The 17,540-nt window shown below is 40.0% G+C and overlaps 1 protein-coding gene across 8 annotated transcripts in view, besides 1 other annotated feature; it reads right to left on the bottom strand.

Moving 5' to 3' along the window:
• The window catches only part of PELI2 (pellino E3 ubiquitin protein ligase family member 2), a 183,114-nt gene that overhangs the window by 42,620 nt on the left and 122,954 nt on the right, over positions 1-17,540 (bottom strand). The gene's annotated exons all lie outside the window — the stretch shown is intronic.
• Positions 7,835-8,335: an enhancer, noted in NCBI's record as "H3K4me1 hESC enhancer chr14:56717288-56717788 (GRCh37/hg19 assembly coordinates)". NCBI's record gives its function as "activates a minimal SCP1, AML or CMV promoter by ChIP-STARR-seq in naive H9 embryonic stem cells {active_cell/tissue: H9 hESC(naive)}" and the evidence as "EXISTENCE:reporter gene assay evidence [ECO:0000049][PMID:30033119]".

Below are 17,540 nucleotides of genomic sequence, written 5' to 3'. Positions count from 1 at the left end.
TGTCTTACTATAGTTTTCTTTATATTCTTTTTAGAGCTCACTGAGCTTCTTGGTTCTAGACTTTTATCATTTTCATCATATTTGAAAAATTTTGGCCTTTTAAAATTGCTACCTTTACCTCCACTTATCTTTCTAGGACACCATTTACACATATTTGAGACCACCTGATATATACCCACAATTTACTATGGCTATCTTTATTTTTTTCAGTTTTTCATCTCTTGCCCCATATTGGAACTTCCTATTGCAATACCTTCAAGTTCACTGATCTTTTCTTCTTCAGTTTCTAATGTACTGCTACCTCAATCCAGTGTTTTTTTTTTTATTTCAGACATGTTATTTTTCACCTTCAGAAGTTTCATCACTTGAACCTTTTTTCTGACATTGTTCTTCTCAACATGCACATTTCCCTTTACATTCCACGTCATAGAGAATATATTTGTAACAGCTATTTTAACCTTCTTGTCTGTGTTTAATTCCATCTGTAATTTCTAGGTTTGTTTCTATTGATTTATTTTCCTCCTGGGTATAGGTCTTATTTTACTACTTCCATGAGTTTCTGGTAATTTTTGATTGGATGCTGGCCATTAATTTTTTTTTGCGGGGGTGGGGGGGCGGTTCTTGATTTTGTTAAGAGTGTTGGACTTGTTCTGGTAGGCAGTTAACTTTAGAACAGTTTTATCTCCCAAGACTTGCTTTTAAGCTTTGTTTGGGCAAGTCCAGAGCACACTTTGATCTAGGGATAATTTATCCTCATTACTAAGGTGACACTCTTCTGCAGACTCTATCCGATTTCCCTGGTATTTTGAGATCTTTTCACTCTACAGGTGGGAACATAACTAATCCCAGTCCTTTGTGAGCTACAGAAGTTGTTCAGCCTATTGCTTTCCAGTAGTTCTTTCCCCATTCTGTGGCGCTTCACCATGCACACAAACAAAACAGTACCTGACCAAGGGCTCAGAGAGTATCCTCTGTAGCTCTACAAAGCTCTATGCCTCTATGAAGCCCCCTCATCTCTGGCAGTTTCCTTTACAAATTTCAGCTGCCTCACCTCCTCAGACTGTAATCTTTGTCTCTTCAACTCAGATCATAGGGCTGTTTGGTTCCTTATTCCTTGTTATTGGGCCTGTGAAAACTGCCTTAGGCAGTAAGCTGGGGCTCACCTCACTTATTTCCCTTCTCTCAGGGATCACAGCCCTGAGCTGCCTGTTGTCTGCAACCAGTCATTTAATATATTTTGTCCAGTTGTTTACAGTAGGGAGAGGCAGTGAATTCTGTAACAGTTAATTCTTCATGCATGGAAGTGGAATTCTTTTTCGCATACATTTTAGAATCTCTTCTGTTCCTCTGTGTTTCACATGAATATATACATAGATACATATATATATAGAAAGAGAAAGTCCAGTACACCTGAATTGATGACAATTTTAAACTTAAATAATTTTAATAATTTAAACAATTTTAAACTTAATTCACCATCGAATTATGCTCCTAATAACATCAAATACTAAATAACACCCAAATCCAGTTGTCTCTAATTTTATTTTATTTTCTTCAGAGCATTTACAAGAAACTAGTTGTTGTTTATTTTACTTACTTACTTCTTCCTGCCAGCCCACATTACACTGTAAGCTCTGAGGGGGTAGGATCATCTTCTATGTTGTTCAACACTTTTATCTCCAATACCTAGAACATTTCCTAGCACATACATACACAATTAACTTAACTCTTCTCTGATCTGGCAGGTACTTAGTAGAAAATATACTTATTTGTTATCAAGGTAATTTTGGTTAAATAATATCCTACTTGCCCTTGATGCCCACTATATACTATTAATACAGAGCCTTATATATGAGCAGGCAAACATTAAGAATAAAGATGAACGTTAAAATTCATATTGAAAAGAAAAATAACAGTATAAACTTCAATGTTTATCAAAGCAAATAATATGCGATAAGGCAGGGTATCCTACCTAGCTAGTTAGACAGCTGGCAACTTCCAGTAGCACACACTAATATGAATTTGAATATGGAAGCCTACACGCTGAAGCCTACATACATTCTAAAAAGCTGCCACTTTAAAAGGTGTAACCTACATTAATCAGAGCATGCAGGGTAGAGGAGAGGAAATCTGTCTGAAATCTACCTGCAAATAAAATCCTTTGTTATTTAAGAGGATCTACACTAGGTTAACTCAGAATTTTATTTATTCTACATATTAGTTACTTCCCAAGAAAACTGAAGTTTTGCATTTTCTAATTACGTCTTAAATAAGAAAAGCAGACTTCATCTCCACATAAAATCTTTGCAAAAAATTCTAAAATAAAAAAATTTATTTAATAAGAATTCAATAAATATTTTCCGGATATATGCTTTCTTCAGACTCACACCTGGCTTCTTACATTTATAGTTAATTTTTACTTTGAAGTTAATGGTATTTTTTTTTTCTTTTTTGAGACAGGGTCTCGATCTTTGCCCAGGCTGGCATGCAGTGGTTCCATCAGAACTCACTGCTGCCTCAATCTTTTTAGGTTCAAGAGATTCTCCCACCTCTGCCTTCTCCCACCTCAGCCTCCAGAGTAGCTGGGACTACAAGTGTGCACCACCATGCCCAGCTAATATTTTTTTTTAATTTGTGTTTTGGAGAGATGGGTCTCACTATGTTGTCCAGGCTGGTCTCGAACTCTTGGGCTCAAATGATCCTCCTGCCTCAGCCTCCCATAGTGCTAGGATTACAGGCATGAGCCACTGCTCCTGAGTGTAAATGGTATTTTTTGTCTTGCCTAACCTAAACTGACTCCATCATGAGCACCGATGACACAGGAGTTAAGATGAAATTACTTAGACAGATAGTAAGAAAGGGTACTGGAGTCCTCAGTAAGGCTTTTCTTTTTAATGAAAAGCAGCCCCAAATCATTTTCTAACAAAGAGCACCCTGTAAAGTTGAGCTGCATAGACAAGCAAGCTGGGAGCTTGCACGAGTGAATGCCAGCAGGAACTAGGGACTAGCCATGTTCAAGGTGGTGGCTCCATCTTCCCTTCTCTGCCAGCCACATGTACAGTAAGGAGCAGACAAGATGGTGCCAGCCAAGGATAATTCATTTGCATAATAAGATTAGAGTGGGGCAGCCAGCCTTCCCCACACATTATGTAAATGACACACCTGATCACACCAATCTGTGGGCCCTACGTACATCAAACACTATCTCCTCCATCCTGCCTATACAATCTGCTGTGGTCCACCACCTTCCCCCAACCCCACTTTTTAAAAAATTATACTTTAGGTTCTGGGATACATGTGCACAACATGCAGGTTTGTTACATAGGCATACATGTGCTATGGTGGTTTGCTGCACCCATCAACCTGTCATCTACATTAGGTATTTCTCCTAATGCCATCCCTCCCCTAGACCCCCACCCCGACAGGCCCTGGTGCATGATGTTTCCCTCCCTGTGTCCATGCATTCTCAATGTTCAACTCCCACTTATGAGTGAGAATATGTGGTGTTTGGTTTTCTGTTCCTGTGTTAGTCTGCTGAGAATGATGGTTTCCAGCTTCATTCATGTCCCTGCAAAAGACATGAATTCATCCTTTTCTATGGCTGCATAGTATTCTATGGTGTATATGTGCCACATTTTCTTTATACAGTCTATCACTGATGGGCATTTGGGTTGGTTCCAAGTCTTTGCTATTGTAAATAGTGCTGCAATAAACAAATGTGTGCATGTGTCTTTATAGTAGAATGACTTATAATCCTTTGGGTATATAACCAATAATGGGATTGCTGGGTCAAATGGTATTTCTGATTCTAGATCCTTGAGGAATTGCCACACTGTCTTTCACAATGATTGAACTAATTTACACTCCCACCAACAGTGTAAAAGCGTTCCCATTACTCCACATCCTCTCCAGCATCTGTTGTTTCTTGACTTTGTAATGGTCGCCACTCTAACTGGTGTGAGATGGTATCTCATTGTGGTTTTGATTTGCATTTCTCTGATGACCAGTGATAATGGAAATTTTTTCGTATTTGTTGGCTGCATAAATGTCTTCTTTTGAGAAGTGTCTGTTCATATCCTTCGCCCACTTTTTGATAGGGTTGTTTTTTTCTTGTAAATTTGTTTAAGTTCCTTGTAGATTCTGGATATTAGCCCTTTGTCAGACGGGAAAGATTGCAAAAATTTTCTCCCATTCTGTAGGTTGCCTGTTCACTCTGATGATAGTTTCTTTGCTGTGCAGAAGCTCTTTAGTTTACTTAGATCCCATTTGTCAATTTTGGCTTTTGTTGCCATTGCTTTTGTTGTTTTAGTCATGAAGTCTTTGCCCACGCCTATGCCCTGAATGGTATTGCTTGGGTTTTCTTCTAGGGTTTTTATGGTTTTAGGTCTTATGTTTAAGTCTTTAGTCCAGCTTGAGTTAATTTTTGTATAAGGTTTAAGGAAGGGGTCCAGTTTCAGCTTTCTGCATAGGGCTAGCCAGTTTTCCCAACACCATTTTTTTTTTTTTTTGAGATGGAGTCTTGCTCTGTCACCAGGCTGGAGTGCAGTGGCGCATCTCAGCTCACTACAACCTCTGCCTCCCAGGTTCAAGCAATTCTCCTGCCCCAGCCTTCCGAATAGCTGGGACTACAGGTGTGCACCACCATGCCCAGCTAATTTTTGTATATTTGGTAGAGACGGGGTTTCACCATGTTGGCCAGGATGGTCTTGATCTCTTGACCTCGTGATCTGCCTGCCTTGGCCTCCTAAAGTGTTGGGATTACAGGCGTGAGCCACCACGCCTGGCCAACATCATTTATTAAGTAGGAAATCCTTTCCCCATTGCTTTTGTCAGGTTTGTCAAAGATCAGATGGTTGTAGATGTGTGGTATTATTTCTGAAGCTTCTGTTCTGTTTCATTGGTCTATGTATCTGTTTTGGTACCAGTACCATCCTGTCTTGGTTATTGTAGCCTTGTAGTATAGTTTGAAGTCAGGTAGTGTGATGCCTCTAGCTTTGTTCTTTTTGCTTAGAATTGTCTTGGCTATCTGGGCTCTTTTTTTGTTCCATATGAAATTTAAAGTAGTTTTTTTTCCCAATTCTGTGAAGAAAGTCACTGGTAGCTTGATGGGGATAGCACTGAATCTTTTGGGCAGTATGGCCATTTTCACGATATTGAGTCTTCCTATCCATGAGCGTGGAATGTTTTTCCGTTTGCTTGTGTCCGCTCTTATTTCCTTGAGCAGTGGTTTGTAGTTCTCCTTGAAGAGATCATTCACATCCCTTGTAAGTTGTATTCCTAGGTATTTTATTCTCTTAGCAGCAATTGTGAATGGGTGTTCACTCATGATTTGGCTCTCTGTTTGTCTGTTATTGGTGTATAGGAATGCTTCTGATTTTTGCACATTGATTTTGTATCCTAAGACTTTGCTGAAGTTGCTTATCACCTTAAGGAGTTTGGGTCTGAGATCATGGGGTTTTCTAAATATACAATCATGTCATCTGCAAACAGAGGCAATGTGACTTCCTATTTTCCTAATTGAATACGCTTTATTTCTTTATCTTGCCTGATTGCCCTGGACAGAACTTCCAATACTATATTGAATAGGACTGGTGAGAGAAGTCATCGTTGTCTTGTGCTGGCTTTCAAAGGGAATGCTTCCAGCTTTGGCCCATTCAGTGTGATATTGGCTGTGGGTTTGTCATAAACAGCTCTTATTATTTTGAGATACATCCATCAATACCTAGTTTATTGAGAGTTTTTAGCATGAAGAGGTGATGAATTTTATCGATGGCCTTTTCTGCATCTACGGAGACAATCATGTGGTTTTTGTCATTGGTTCTGTTTATGTGATGGATTACGTTTATTGATTTGCATATGTTGAACCAGCCTTGCATCCCAGGGATGAAGCTGACTTGATCATGGTGGATTTTGATGTGCTGCTGGATTCTGTTTGCCAGTATTTTACTGAGGATTTTCACATAGATGTTCATCAGGGATACTGGCCTGAAATTTTCCTTTTTTGTTGTGTCTCTGCCAGGTTTTGGTATCAGGATAATGCTGGCCTCATAGAATGAGTTGAGGAGGAGTCCCTCTTTTTCTATTGTTCGGAATACTTTCAGAAGGAATGGTACCAGCTCCTCTTTATACCTCTGGTAGAATTTGGCTGTGAATCCATCTGGTCCTGGGCTTTTTTTGGTTGGTAGGATATTAATTACTGCCTCAATTTCAGAACTTGTTATTGATCCTCCTTTTTTCCAGACGTCTCGCTCTCCCTCTATCTCCTCTCTCTTGCAAGAAGCTGTTCTCCTCTTCCTCTCACCTTTCCACTACTAAACTTCCTGCTCCTTAACCCACCCATGTGTCCATGTTCTGAATTCTTTCCTGGCTCAAGGCAACAAACCACAGGTTATTCCCCAGACAAAGAAGGTGTTTCACCAACACTCATCTTACAATACGTTACAGGTTAAATGTGATTTTATATAAATAACTTTACAACTATATTTTCTAAGACTTCTTTCAAAGCTTCTTGATTTGGCAAGTAACAGAATGGGTTACAGTAGTTTACATACAACAGGTGTCCCAGTAAGACATTGTGATATTGATGAACAAGGTATAGGAACACCTCTGCTTTGGGAAATATTACTCTAAAACAGGAGTGTGCTACCATTAGCTATGAAAATAATTTTAAAGGCCTAAACTCCTTTTTATCAAGTCTGGCTACTGTTATAGCACCCTTACCCTAGGCTATGACAACTATATTTACTTGACTATGAATTGTTACCTCCTTACTGCACAATTTCTGGTACAGAGAGCATTCAGTGTTTGCTGAACAAACAAATTATTGAAGCAGAATACCCTATTCTCCCAAGTATCCTAGGTGTCTGAGACATTATTACCCTGTGCTATTGTCAAACTCACCTAATAACAATTCTCAAAGTCCTACATCATAATCCATTTATGCTTCACTATTAAAAAAAAGAATTACGGTGTATACGTTTGGCACCTCAAGCTGTCATGTCAATCTAGATAAGAATCCAAGATGAATACAAATTGAATAGCTAAAACATCCCAAGTGACTACTCTTGATGTGAAGCTTTAACAACTTGTCCTGATATGCTATGCTATGCTAGCTTTAAATAATTAGCACAGCTAACATTTTAGATGTAATGTCCCCCAACATTTATGCTTAGCAGCCTCTTTCCAAGAGTAGTTCGTGTCAAAAACTTGGGTTTTGGACTTGATTTTGCTTACCAATTGCAGAGGCTGCAGGGTATGACGAGACTGAAACAGGGTGTGGAATCAAACAGGGGCTCACAATTACAAGTGCACTACATACCAACCATGAGCACACAAGTGTGTCACTCCACCTCCCTGCATCACAACAATCAACCAACAGGGTAACAATAACGAACTGCTGCAAGGATCAAACAGAATACTCAGCAGAAACTACGGCTGCTTGATCTTAAGTCATTTAAGCTTCGCGTACTAGAACACTTGACTGTAAAGACTCAGCAACTACCCTGCTCGCCTTACAGGATTGTTGCAGGGATAAAATAAAATAAGAAAATAAGCTTGGCTTTTTAAGTTCAAAGTGCTACACAAATATTATGCTACTATCTTCCTAGGAGGATAATTGCATCTGTGAATGGAAGGAGGCAGAAGAAGTAACAATGTCAACTTGGCTCTGAAGGAGCCTCTGCCGATGGCCCTCCCAGGCTGAGCTCCTGCTGCCCGCTGTGAGCAGCTGAGTGCTGGCTACTAATAGCTCACAGACAAACCCTTCTCCAGAGAACTTTCTTTGGCCCACTTAGTCCAGAAATGCCTGGGAGATGGTGCCCCCAGGGGCGGCCTGTAGCTCAGAACCAAGGAAAGAGGGCTGAGCCCCTGCTCAACGTGGGGTGGCTATGTGGCCTCAGAGCTCCCCAGGGGGTCAGGCTGAGGCTAGACTTGGGCTAAGAGCACTCTTTCCCAGCTTCTTCCCTTGCTCTCACTTGCTTCCCTCACCTCCTTCCTGGTTTCTCCTGACAGTACTTCTTCAGTAAATCACTTGCACAGGCTTTCTGTGATGGTTAATACTGAGTGTGAACTTGACTGAAGGATGCAAAGTATTGTTCGGTGGGTGCCTGTGAGGGTGTCGCCAAAGGAGATTAACATTTGAGTCAGCGGATTGAGAGAGGCAGACCCACTCTCAATCTGGATGGGCCCATCTAATCAGCTGCCAGTGCAGCTAGAATAATGCAGGCAGAAGAAAGTGGAATGAGGAGACTTGCTGAGTCTTCTAGTCTTCATATTTCTACCATGCCGCATGCTTCCTGCCCTCGAACATCAGACTCCGAGTTCTTCAGCTTATGGACTCTTGGACTTACATCAGTGGTTTGCCAGAGGCTCTATGGCATTTGGTCACAGACTGAAGGCTGCACTGTCGGCTTCCTTACTTTTGAGGTTTTGGGACTCAGACTGGCTTCCTTGCTCCTCAGCTTGCAGATGGCCTATTGTGGGACTTCACCTTGTGATGATGTGAGTCAATTCCCCTAATAAACTCCCTTTCATCTATTCATCTATCCTATTAGTTCTGTCCCATTAGAGAACCCTAACTAATACACTTTGCTTCTAGAAAACCTCATCTAAGCCACCATATAACTTCTAGTATTGACTTACCTGGCTGAAATCTCACCCCCATCAACAAATAGAAATGTTTCCAGTGTGGCCCAAGCTCTCAGTAGGAACCGTCAGTGCATCAGGCAGTGCTCCACAGGTCCAGCCAGTGCCGATGGCTTTTGGAAATAAGCTTGAAGCCAAAGTTTGGGCAGAAAACATGGCATTACCAGAGGGAGAGGATACAGCCCCATTTGGAGCATCCTCAGTAAGGAGGATAGGGCATTCCAAAACCTACAGGCAAAGGGGACTTCTGCCCCTTAGAGAACACGAGAGAGCACTGATCTTGCTCCCTGTGTGAAACACTTCTCTGATCTAGTCTGTGCACAAAAGTCAAACAGATCTCCCAAAAATGCTCTCCCCACCTCAAAAATATTTCAGTGACATCAAGATTCGCATGACGCATGCTAGGCATGTGTGATCCTTTATTCAGTGACTGAGTCAGGGCACACATTGATGGGACAGAGCAGTGAGAGACACACTCCTGGTGTCAGTCACTCTCAGTCTCTAACCTGAGTTCCCACAGAGCTGAACACACGAGCCACACATTTTGTCAGCCACTTGCTGCCCCAAATGCTGTGTAATTCCTTGTGTGTATTCCCATATTGCCTCCTCAGGGGAACACAAGCCCTTCCTTGTTCATGAGACACACCTGGAGCATGCTCAGTACTGGGGTTACAAAGAACAGTTCTTGTCCCTTAGATACTCACATGGGACTCTGCACCTAATAGTCCCAGAAATATCCGTTGAATTAAACTGACTGCACCTTGGAAGAGTTGAATGGAGGAGGAAGTGGTCTTTGGTGGGGATGCTGAGGCTGCAGGATTTAAATAGGAGGGAAAACGTTATCTGGGGGAGGAGAGGCTTTCACACTGATGTTAACAAACATGTAAATAAGAATAACCAACAATGTGATGAGGGTGGATGGGCAAATGCATGATATATGTAAAGGATGTTAAATGAAAGAGGGAACCATTAATGCCCAGGGCACAGGGCCTTACTTTTCTTCTCTCCCACCCCTATCCCTGCCTGGCACAGAGTAAATGCTCAATACCGCTTGAATTTTAGTGGACGTTAATTCCTTAAGCTTAGAATTCTCATATGTGAATGTTTGGAAACTAAAAGAGACCTGTACCAATCTTTTGAAGCCAATACACACTTCCGAGCATCACATAATCTATATCCCATGGCCAATTCACGGCACCACTATGACAGGGATTACCTGTTAACAGTACTCAAGCCTTTGTGGGAAAGGCCCAACGGAAACACAAACACCAAAACTGGACACAAACTGGGAGAGAAGATGTGCATTTTACTTTTTGAAATGACCATTAACCCTGCTTCCCTGAGACTTCCTAAGAAGAAACATGATATCCTCTACAAGTGGCATGGCAGGAGCAGCCGCAGCACATGGACTGCCCTTCTCATGGCATTCAGCAACCCCCGGGGAGGGTTTTCAACAGCCAAGCCCCAGAATACTAAGGAGCAGCAACAGCCCTCTCGGTGTCTCCTCTGTGCCTGAGCCTGATTAGAGTCACCCCTTTTCTCTACACCTCCCAACCAGCTTCTCATGTTGCAGATTCAAGGCCAAATTCCTGGGCCTGGAATTCAAGACTCCAGGATCCGGCCTCCTCATGGCACCCTTCAGGTCAGCCTCCCCATCCATGCTCCTGCATGCCTTCCTTCTGCTTCCCAACCCTCCATGTTCTCCTGTGCCTCTCCACCAAGGCTCCCTGCCAGCCTGGAGGCTCCTTCTCACAGTCACCCTCAGCAGAACGGTAAGCCACCTCTTGTGTGAAGCTTTCCCTGACTCTCCTGATGATCGGGATGTATCGCTTCTTTTTCTGGGCTGTTTTAATTCTCTGTGCTTCAATTCTTTCAGATTAAAAAAAAAAAGGAATAATGATCTGTATTCTCTCACTTCAGAGTCCTTGATCTTAAAAAGTTAAAGAATAAATTAAAATGTGCGCGAAACTTAATGTTCTCATTATTTACTATGCTCAAAGAAGCCACATATTTGGTCGGCTCATATGACATGTTCGTTGCATAATAGCAGCATGGTAGACGCTGAAAATTATTTTTGGACTGTATTTCACATTTAGGCAACTACTTTTAATGGTTTAAATCAACCCAAATATTCTGAAAATATAGTTTAACTGATTATATTCAATCTGATCGTGCTAAAAAATTGCCAAATGGAGCATCAACACTGGAGCCAGTTACGTGGCAGCTAGCCTAACAAAATCAAAATAGCACTGACACTTTTCCTTCTCTTGGCAATAAAACAGTGGGCATTTTTAGACATTTTTCAGACACTTTCCAAAGTATAGACATCTGTCGTTTATATTTCAAGTTTCTCCAAATATAGAATATAGTGTCATCCTTCCAGACTGGGTAGCAAAGATTACTCACTAAATGACTACTTTCTTAACAAGATTCCATGAAGGCATCTGACAAGGTCTGTCTCGACATTTCTATACATACAATGGAGAAATATAGTTAGAAGATAATACCCAAAGTAGATTTATACCTGGGTGAATGATTATACCTATAAAATCAGTTTCAACATAACAGGAGCCCTCTGGTGGCAACTACAGAATTCTGTCTTGTGTTAATCCATGATTTTCAAGATGTTAACGAAAGTAGGTTGATCACAATTTTTAAAATGAAGCAATACCAAAGACAGTGAATCCACTGATGACAGGGTCAAAATCTACCCAATGACTACATTATAAAAACAGGCCAAATGTAACAAGATAAGGCATTTTTAAAGTGATAAATGTACATTTATATGTGTAGGTTCAGACAATCAACTCTCATGAATAAAGATCTATGCTCAAGCAGTCCCCTGCACCACTATTTCTAACAGCATGCAGACAACCTAAACATCCATCCGTAAGGGGACAGCTAAATAAATTAAGGGGATAGAGTATACTTTGTAGCAACAAAAAGAAAAACTACAGTTGACTGAAATAATAATCGGAAGAATATACACGATAAATCTTGGGTGATAAAAGTAGTTTAAGCATTGTATACAGAGACTGTTCCCATTCCTGTTTTGGTTTTGAAAGAATTCCGTGTGTGTATGTTGATTTTCATACACACATTATGTATGTGTTTGTACATATAATAGCAACATTTGAGCACTTGCTGTGTACCAGACACAATTCTACAGGTCCATTATATTTATTAACTCAATCTTTTCAGAGACACAGGTACACATTCGTATCTCTGTATTTTATTTAGGTACAGAAAGTAAGCAGTAGACCAACAACGTAAAAAGGTACTCTCGTATCACACTACCACATGGTTACTGGGGTGGAGAAGGTTTTTCTTATATATTTCTGTATAGTTTAAAGGTTTTTCAGAAGAATGTAATATTTCTTAAATTCTAAAAAGGAAACGTGGCCAAGATAGTAAGTATGAGAAAAATTGCACAATATAAGTCAATGTATGATGGAATAATTAAATGGGATAGGAGACACAGCGCTGCTACTTCCTAGGTAAATTACCTTGAACAATTTACTTAACTTTTGAGTCTTAGTTTCCCAGCGTACTACAGATAATCAAAACTATTTGCAAAGTAATATGGGTTAAATAAAGTAATGCATAACCATGTCAAGCCCATACTTCCTGGTACACAGTTGGCCTACGTCCGTAAACACTGCTTTTAACAGAGAAACAACACAAAAAAATCACTCTAATCAATACTGGTAGACCACGCTTGTCCTGAAGAGCACTCAAATGCAGAGGCTCGGAGAGGCCAGAAAGGAGAAGGACATGGGAAACACAGGAGGAAGGGTTGAAAGAATTAGTGCAACTTGCCCTGGAAGTGATGTCTTAGGGGAAGATTAGCAGCTTAAGTAGTTATTAACATTAGAGAAAATGTTGACTTTTTCTGTTTGGCTGTGATGGACAGAATCAAAACCAAGGTATAAAAGTTACGGTTAAAGGGAAGGGGGATCAGATTTGAGTGTAAATATATAAACCTTGTAACAGTTACAGCTGTTGAAAATGGTACCAAGTTGCCCAGTAATGGAGTTGTTATTCTTGTCAAGTCATAGCAAACTTTACAACCTCTGTTTGCCCCATGAGAGAAAGTACATGGAGAACGCACCAGGTGCACTCCAGAGGAGATCCATGCTTGCAGAGGAAGGATAAAGTAGATTACTCCTGAAGTCTCCTGTAACTTTAAGATTTATATGATCTATGGCATTCAAAGGCACTCTGCAGTTCGAAAAGTCTATTAGTTTAGTAGCTACAGTCATCTTTCAATGTCCATGGTGGACTGGTTCCAGGACTCCTGCAGATACCAAAATCTGAGGATGCTCAAGTCTCTTACATAAATTGGTATAGTATTTGCATATAATATATGTATTAATACATCCTCCCATATACTTTAAATCATCTCTAGATTACTTACAACATCTAAAACAATGCCAATGCTATGTTAATAGCTATTATGCTTATTGATATACAATACAAAATTTGTATTATTTTTTGTTGTATTGTTATTTTTCCCAAATATTTGTGATCCTCAGTTTGTTGGATCTGCAGATGCAGAACCTGTGGACAGAGAGTTGTAGTATTGCTATTTTGACTAGTAAAACTATCTGGCTATTCTCATTTTTATAGATGAAGAAACAGTTCCCAAAGAAAGAAAATTTGCCTGTATAGAATCACATAAACACCAGGCCAGAATAACAACTCTCCAACCCTTAAGGCATATATTCCAAATTTTGCCAACCAGGAATTCACTTAATGGGCATATTGTAGACATGCAGATAGATAATTATAAAATTAATAATTTTTACATGTTTATCATACATGGTTTTACATGTTTTAGAAAAATATTGATAAAATATATTTTTAAATTAATTTTAAGTATTCCATATCAGCACAATCTTTCATTTGGGTTCAATGACACATTTAGCTTGAGTAATATTCTGGTTCCACATCTAAGCTAATTAATTAATATATTTTCATTAACATCAATTAGAAAATCACAACTCATGCACTGTACAGACTGTTGGTAACTGTTGCAGTGTTTTGTTCTACTAAGGAGTACAGATATTTCCACCAAGGATGAACCCAGATATTATGGAAAAATTTACTAAACGCCTCGCTTGGAATTTATTGGAAACCTAAGTTATCCTTTAAGTCTGGGAGATGCAATGTTTCGAATTAAGAGAAGTGGGAAATAGATTCTTCATTCATTTATTGCTTATATTTACCTCCAGTTGTTACATATGCCCAACATTTATGCTTCCTTGATGAAAATCATACATGCTAGTAAACAGTCAGATCTTAGTGATCCAGTCTCAGCAGTATTATCCAGTTTTAAAAAATTCTATTTCTTATTTCTGTCATTGACCAGGAAGAGACAGATTCAGTCTGAAAAGAGAAAAGCCTATGCAATATGCCATCTGTCTAAGCCAACTGATTATCACAGACATGGTCTTTACTCATATCAAGACCATGAAGAAATATTTTATTTCATACCTTATTCCAAAAAGGTCTCCTCAACAGCTAGCACAACTCAATGGAGAAAAGCTGAGCTATTTAATTGCTGAGAATCTATTTACACAGCCCAGTGGAAAATACACATTCAGTGATGGAGTTTTCATCCTGCTCTTGGTGGAAGAAGTGGAGGGAGGATGAGCATTAGCAGAGTGGCATCTTCCTTGCTGCCTACTCAGCTGGTGCCCTGTCATTAGGAATGTCTGGGAACCTTTTGTTCATTATCAGTGCCTTCCAAATAAACAACAAAAAGAATCTCTCCTGAAGCGAAGGGTTTCAACGACAAAGATTACAGAAAGTCACTGAACATTTCTCCCTCGTGTGTTACACATATTCTAAGGACTGATTCATATTCTACACAGTGAATTCAACAAACTATAAAGTGAAATATTCATTCATGCATGACTGCTTTCCACATTGCATACCCCTGATATTACGTCACATGCAACAGCAGTATTTGATCAACGATTTTGCCAAAAGCTTGTTCCTCTTTCCTTTTGAATATGTTTGCCATCAGTTTGGAGGTTGATGTTGCAAACTTCTCAGCAAATCTACTTTTGCTAGGATGAATGTAACTATGAATGATGCCTCTGAGGTTTTGTTCTATATTCTGGGCCCTTAGTAACAAAATTCATCAGTTTCACCCTGGAAAACACTATTTTGTACTTGATCTGGGAAGACTCAACTGGTTTACTGGAGAGGCCACTGTACTCTGTCTGAAAATGACTCAAAAGCATTGGGGGTTTTATGCCCCTATTTGACAAAGTTTCATAAAAGAGAAAGCACTGGAGACCACGGACAAATAAATCACCTCCCAAGTAAAATTCAATTTTCAGAAAGTCATTATGATACTTTCTATTTACAATTTTTCTTTTTCTGTGACTTGACTAAAATTATCAACCTGAAAGATTAACTGGTCCCTGGATGTTAAGATTCACATTTTATAATGACACTGGGTTTCCCTTCACTATTTATGCTTATGTTATTTTGAGCTGTAGTTTTTCTTATTTTTGTCACTCCTTTTATACTTCAAAGAACCACTTCTGAGGTACTGATCCATTCTTGTGAACTGGATAAAGAAAACAACACAATAATAATGACCCAAAAATGCAAAGGTTAACAAAAGTAAACAAATAACAAACCCCAGTATGCTTACTATGTGCCATGCACTATTTGAAAGATTTCAATTACCTTAACTGATTTACTCTTCACAACAACCTTAGAAGGAGGTAGTATTATCCCCATTTCACAGATAGAGAAACTGAGTTGTGACTTCACTTGCCCAAGATCACAAAGTGCCAGGAACTGGGGCCAGGCGCTTCTCATGCTCTAAACCCTCTCAAACAAGGAGAAAGCCTGCAGAGATCAGTGCCTGTTAGCTCCATCAGGGGCCTCACTGCAATAACGTCATCCCAACCCCCTCACAGCTGGAATCTGCTTAGAGATGTCAACAGCTGGAGGCTCTCAAAAGACACACTCCCAAGTGATGGCTGCCATTCTGCATCTTATATCAAGGGGGAATCACACATTCCCCTGGCAGGTTGGTTCTGTGTTACATGACCTACCAAGTTACTCCCTTCATTTTCTTTTTTCTGTTGTTGTTCTCTGTTTCTAATCAATGGATTAGAAATCAACCAGACAGACATCTAGAAAACTCGCAAATATCTGGAAATCAAATTCGATACTTTAAAATAAGCCACGGATGAAAGGAGTCATAAAAAGGAAGTTAGAAATACATTTATTCAGCTTCAATAGTTTTTGGGGAACAGGTGGTGTTTGGTTACATGGAAAGCTCTTTAGTGGTAATTTCTGGGATTGTGGTGCACCCATCACCTGGGCAGTGTATACTGTACCCAATGTGTAGTCTTTTATCCTTCACTCCCTTTCTCTCTTCCCCCCTGAATCCCCAAAGTCCATTACATCCTTCATATGCATTTGGGTCCTCATAGTTTAGCTCCCACTTACAACTGAGAACATACGATAATTGGTTTTCCATTCCTGAGTTACTTCACTTAGAATAATGGTCTCCAGCTCCATCCAAGTTGCTGCAAATGTCTTCATTTTGTTCCTTTTTATGGCTGAGTAGTATTCCATGGTGTGTATATATACCACATTTTCTTTATCCACTCACTGACTGATGGACATTTAGGCTGGTTCCACATTTTTGCAATTGCAAGTTGTGCCGCTCTAAACATGCATGTGCAAGTGTCTTTTTCATAGAATGACTTCTTTTCCTTTGGGTAGATGCCCAGTAATGGGGTTGCTGGATCAAATGGCAGTTCTACTTTTAGTTCTTTTTGATTACATGTTACTTTTGACCTCCTATTTTACATGATGAGACTTTAGCTTCCTCACACAGACTCTCCTCCCCCAAGCTGCTAATATAAAATAATTTTGTTTTCAATTGATAGTCACTGTTTTCATGGCTACGACTATGGTATATAATGCTCACAGCAGAGTCTGTAGTGCACTATGAGTGTATTTCCTTTCTCAATAACTCTGTTTCTCTTGGAATTATAACTTTGTTCATAGTCTCTTGGTTTTCTACTTTCCTATTACTAATTCATCCCCAAACCTTCTGACACAACTATAAAATCCTCTGTACAGAACCCATGAGGTGGCCACTCAGTTGGTCCTCCTGTTCCCTGGACCCCTCGCACACAGCCATTCCTTCCACAGGCCTCTGCCTACCTGGAAGCTGATTGCTAGGCCATTACAGAGCTCTGTGCCTCTCACCATCCTGGGAATTCCCTTTGCCGCCTTCTTGTGCTGGATCTCGTTTCCTTCATCACTTGTCTTCCTCTTTATTTTGCTCCCTCATTTTAGTGGAGTGTATCCTTATAGCAGCTAAATAGTTTATTTTAGTCCTTATGGATCTAAAATGTCTTAGTTCCACCGTTGTACTTGACTGTTGGGCTAAGTACAGAACCAGGCTGGAACTCATTTACTCATTTCCCCTCAAAAGTAGCGTGCAGCTTTATCATTAGGAATTCCAATGCTATTTGATTCCCGATCGTTTAAATCAAACCTCATTTTCCCCTCTCTGGATATTTTTACTATCTCCCCTTTATCCCTGGTGTTCTGAAATTTCACAATAAAGTGCCCTGGTGTGAGTCATTTAAAAAAATTGTTAATGTAATTCCAACAGAATATATACTCCACAATGGCACGGGTTTTTGTCTGCTTCCCCCCAACTCCTGTGCCTCTAGTGCACTGGACACAGCCTGTCCTCTGGTAGGCCCTCGGCAATACAGGTAGAATAAAAGGCAAAACACTCCTGTACTTGCTGCACCCTTTCTATCTGGAGGTACATCAATTTCATGAATTACTTCTCTATAACTTTCTGCCCACTACTACCTTTGTAACTCACATTAGTTGGGTGT

The sequence above is a fragment of the Homo sapiens genome, chromosome 14, assembly GCF_000001405.40.
Source record: "Homo sapiens chromosome 14, GRCh38.p14 Primary Assembly".
NCBI lineage: Eukaryota > Metazoa > Chordata > Mammalia > Primates > Hominidae > Homo > Homo sapiens.
The sequence above is the reverse complement of the archived record's forward strand: the minus strand, read 5'-3'. Positions and strand labels throughout refer to the sequence as shown.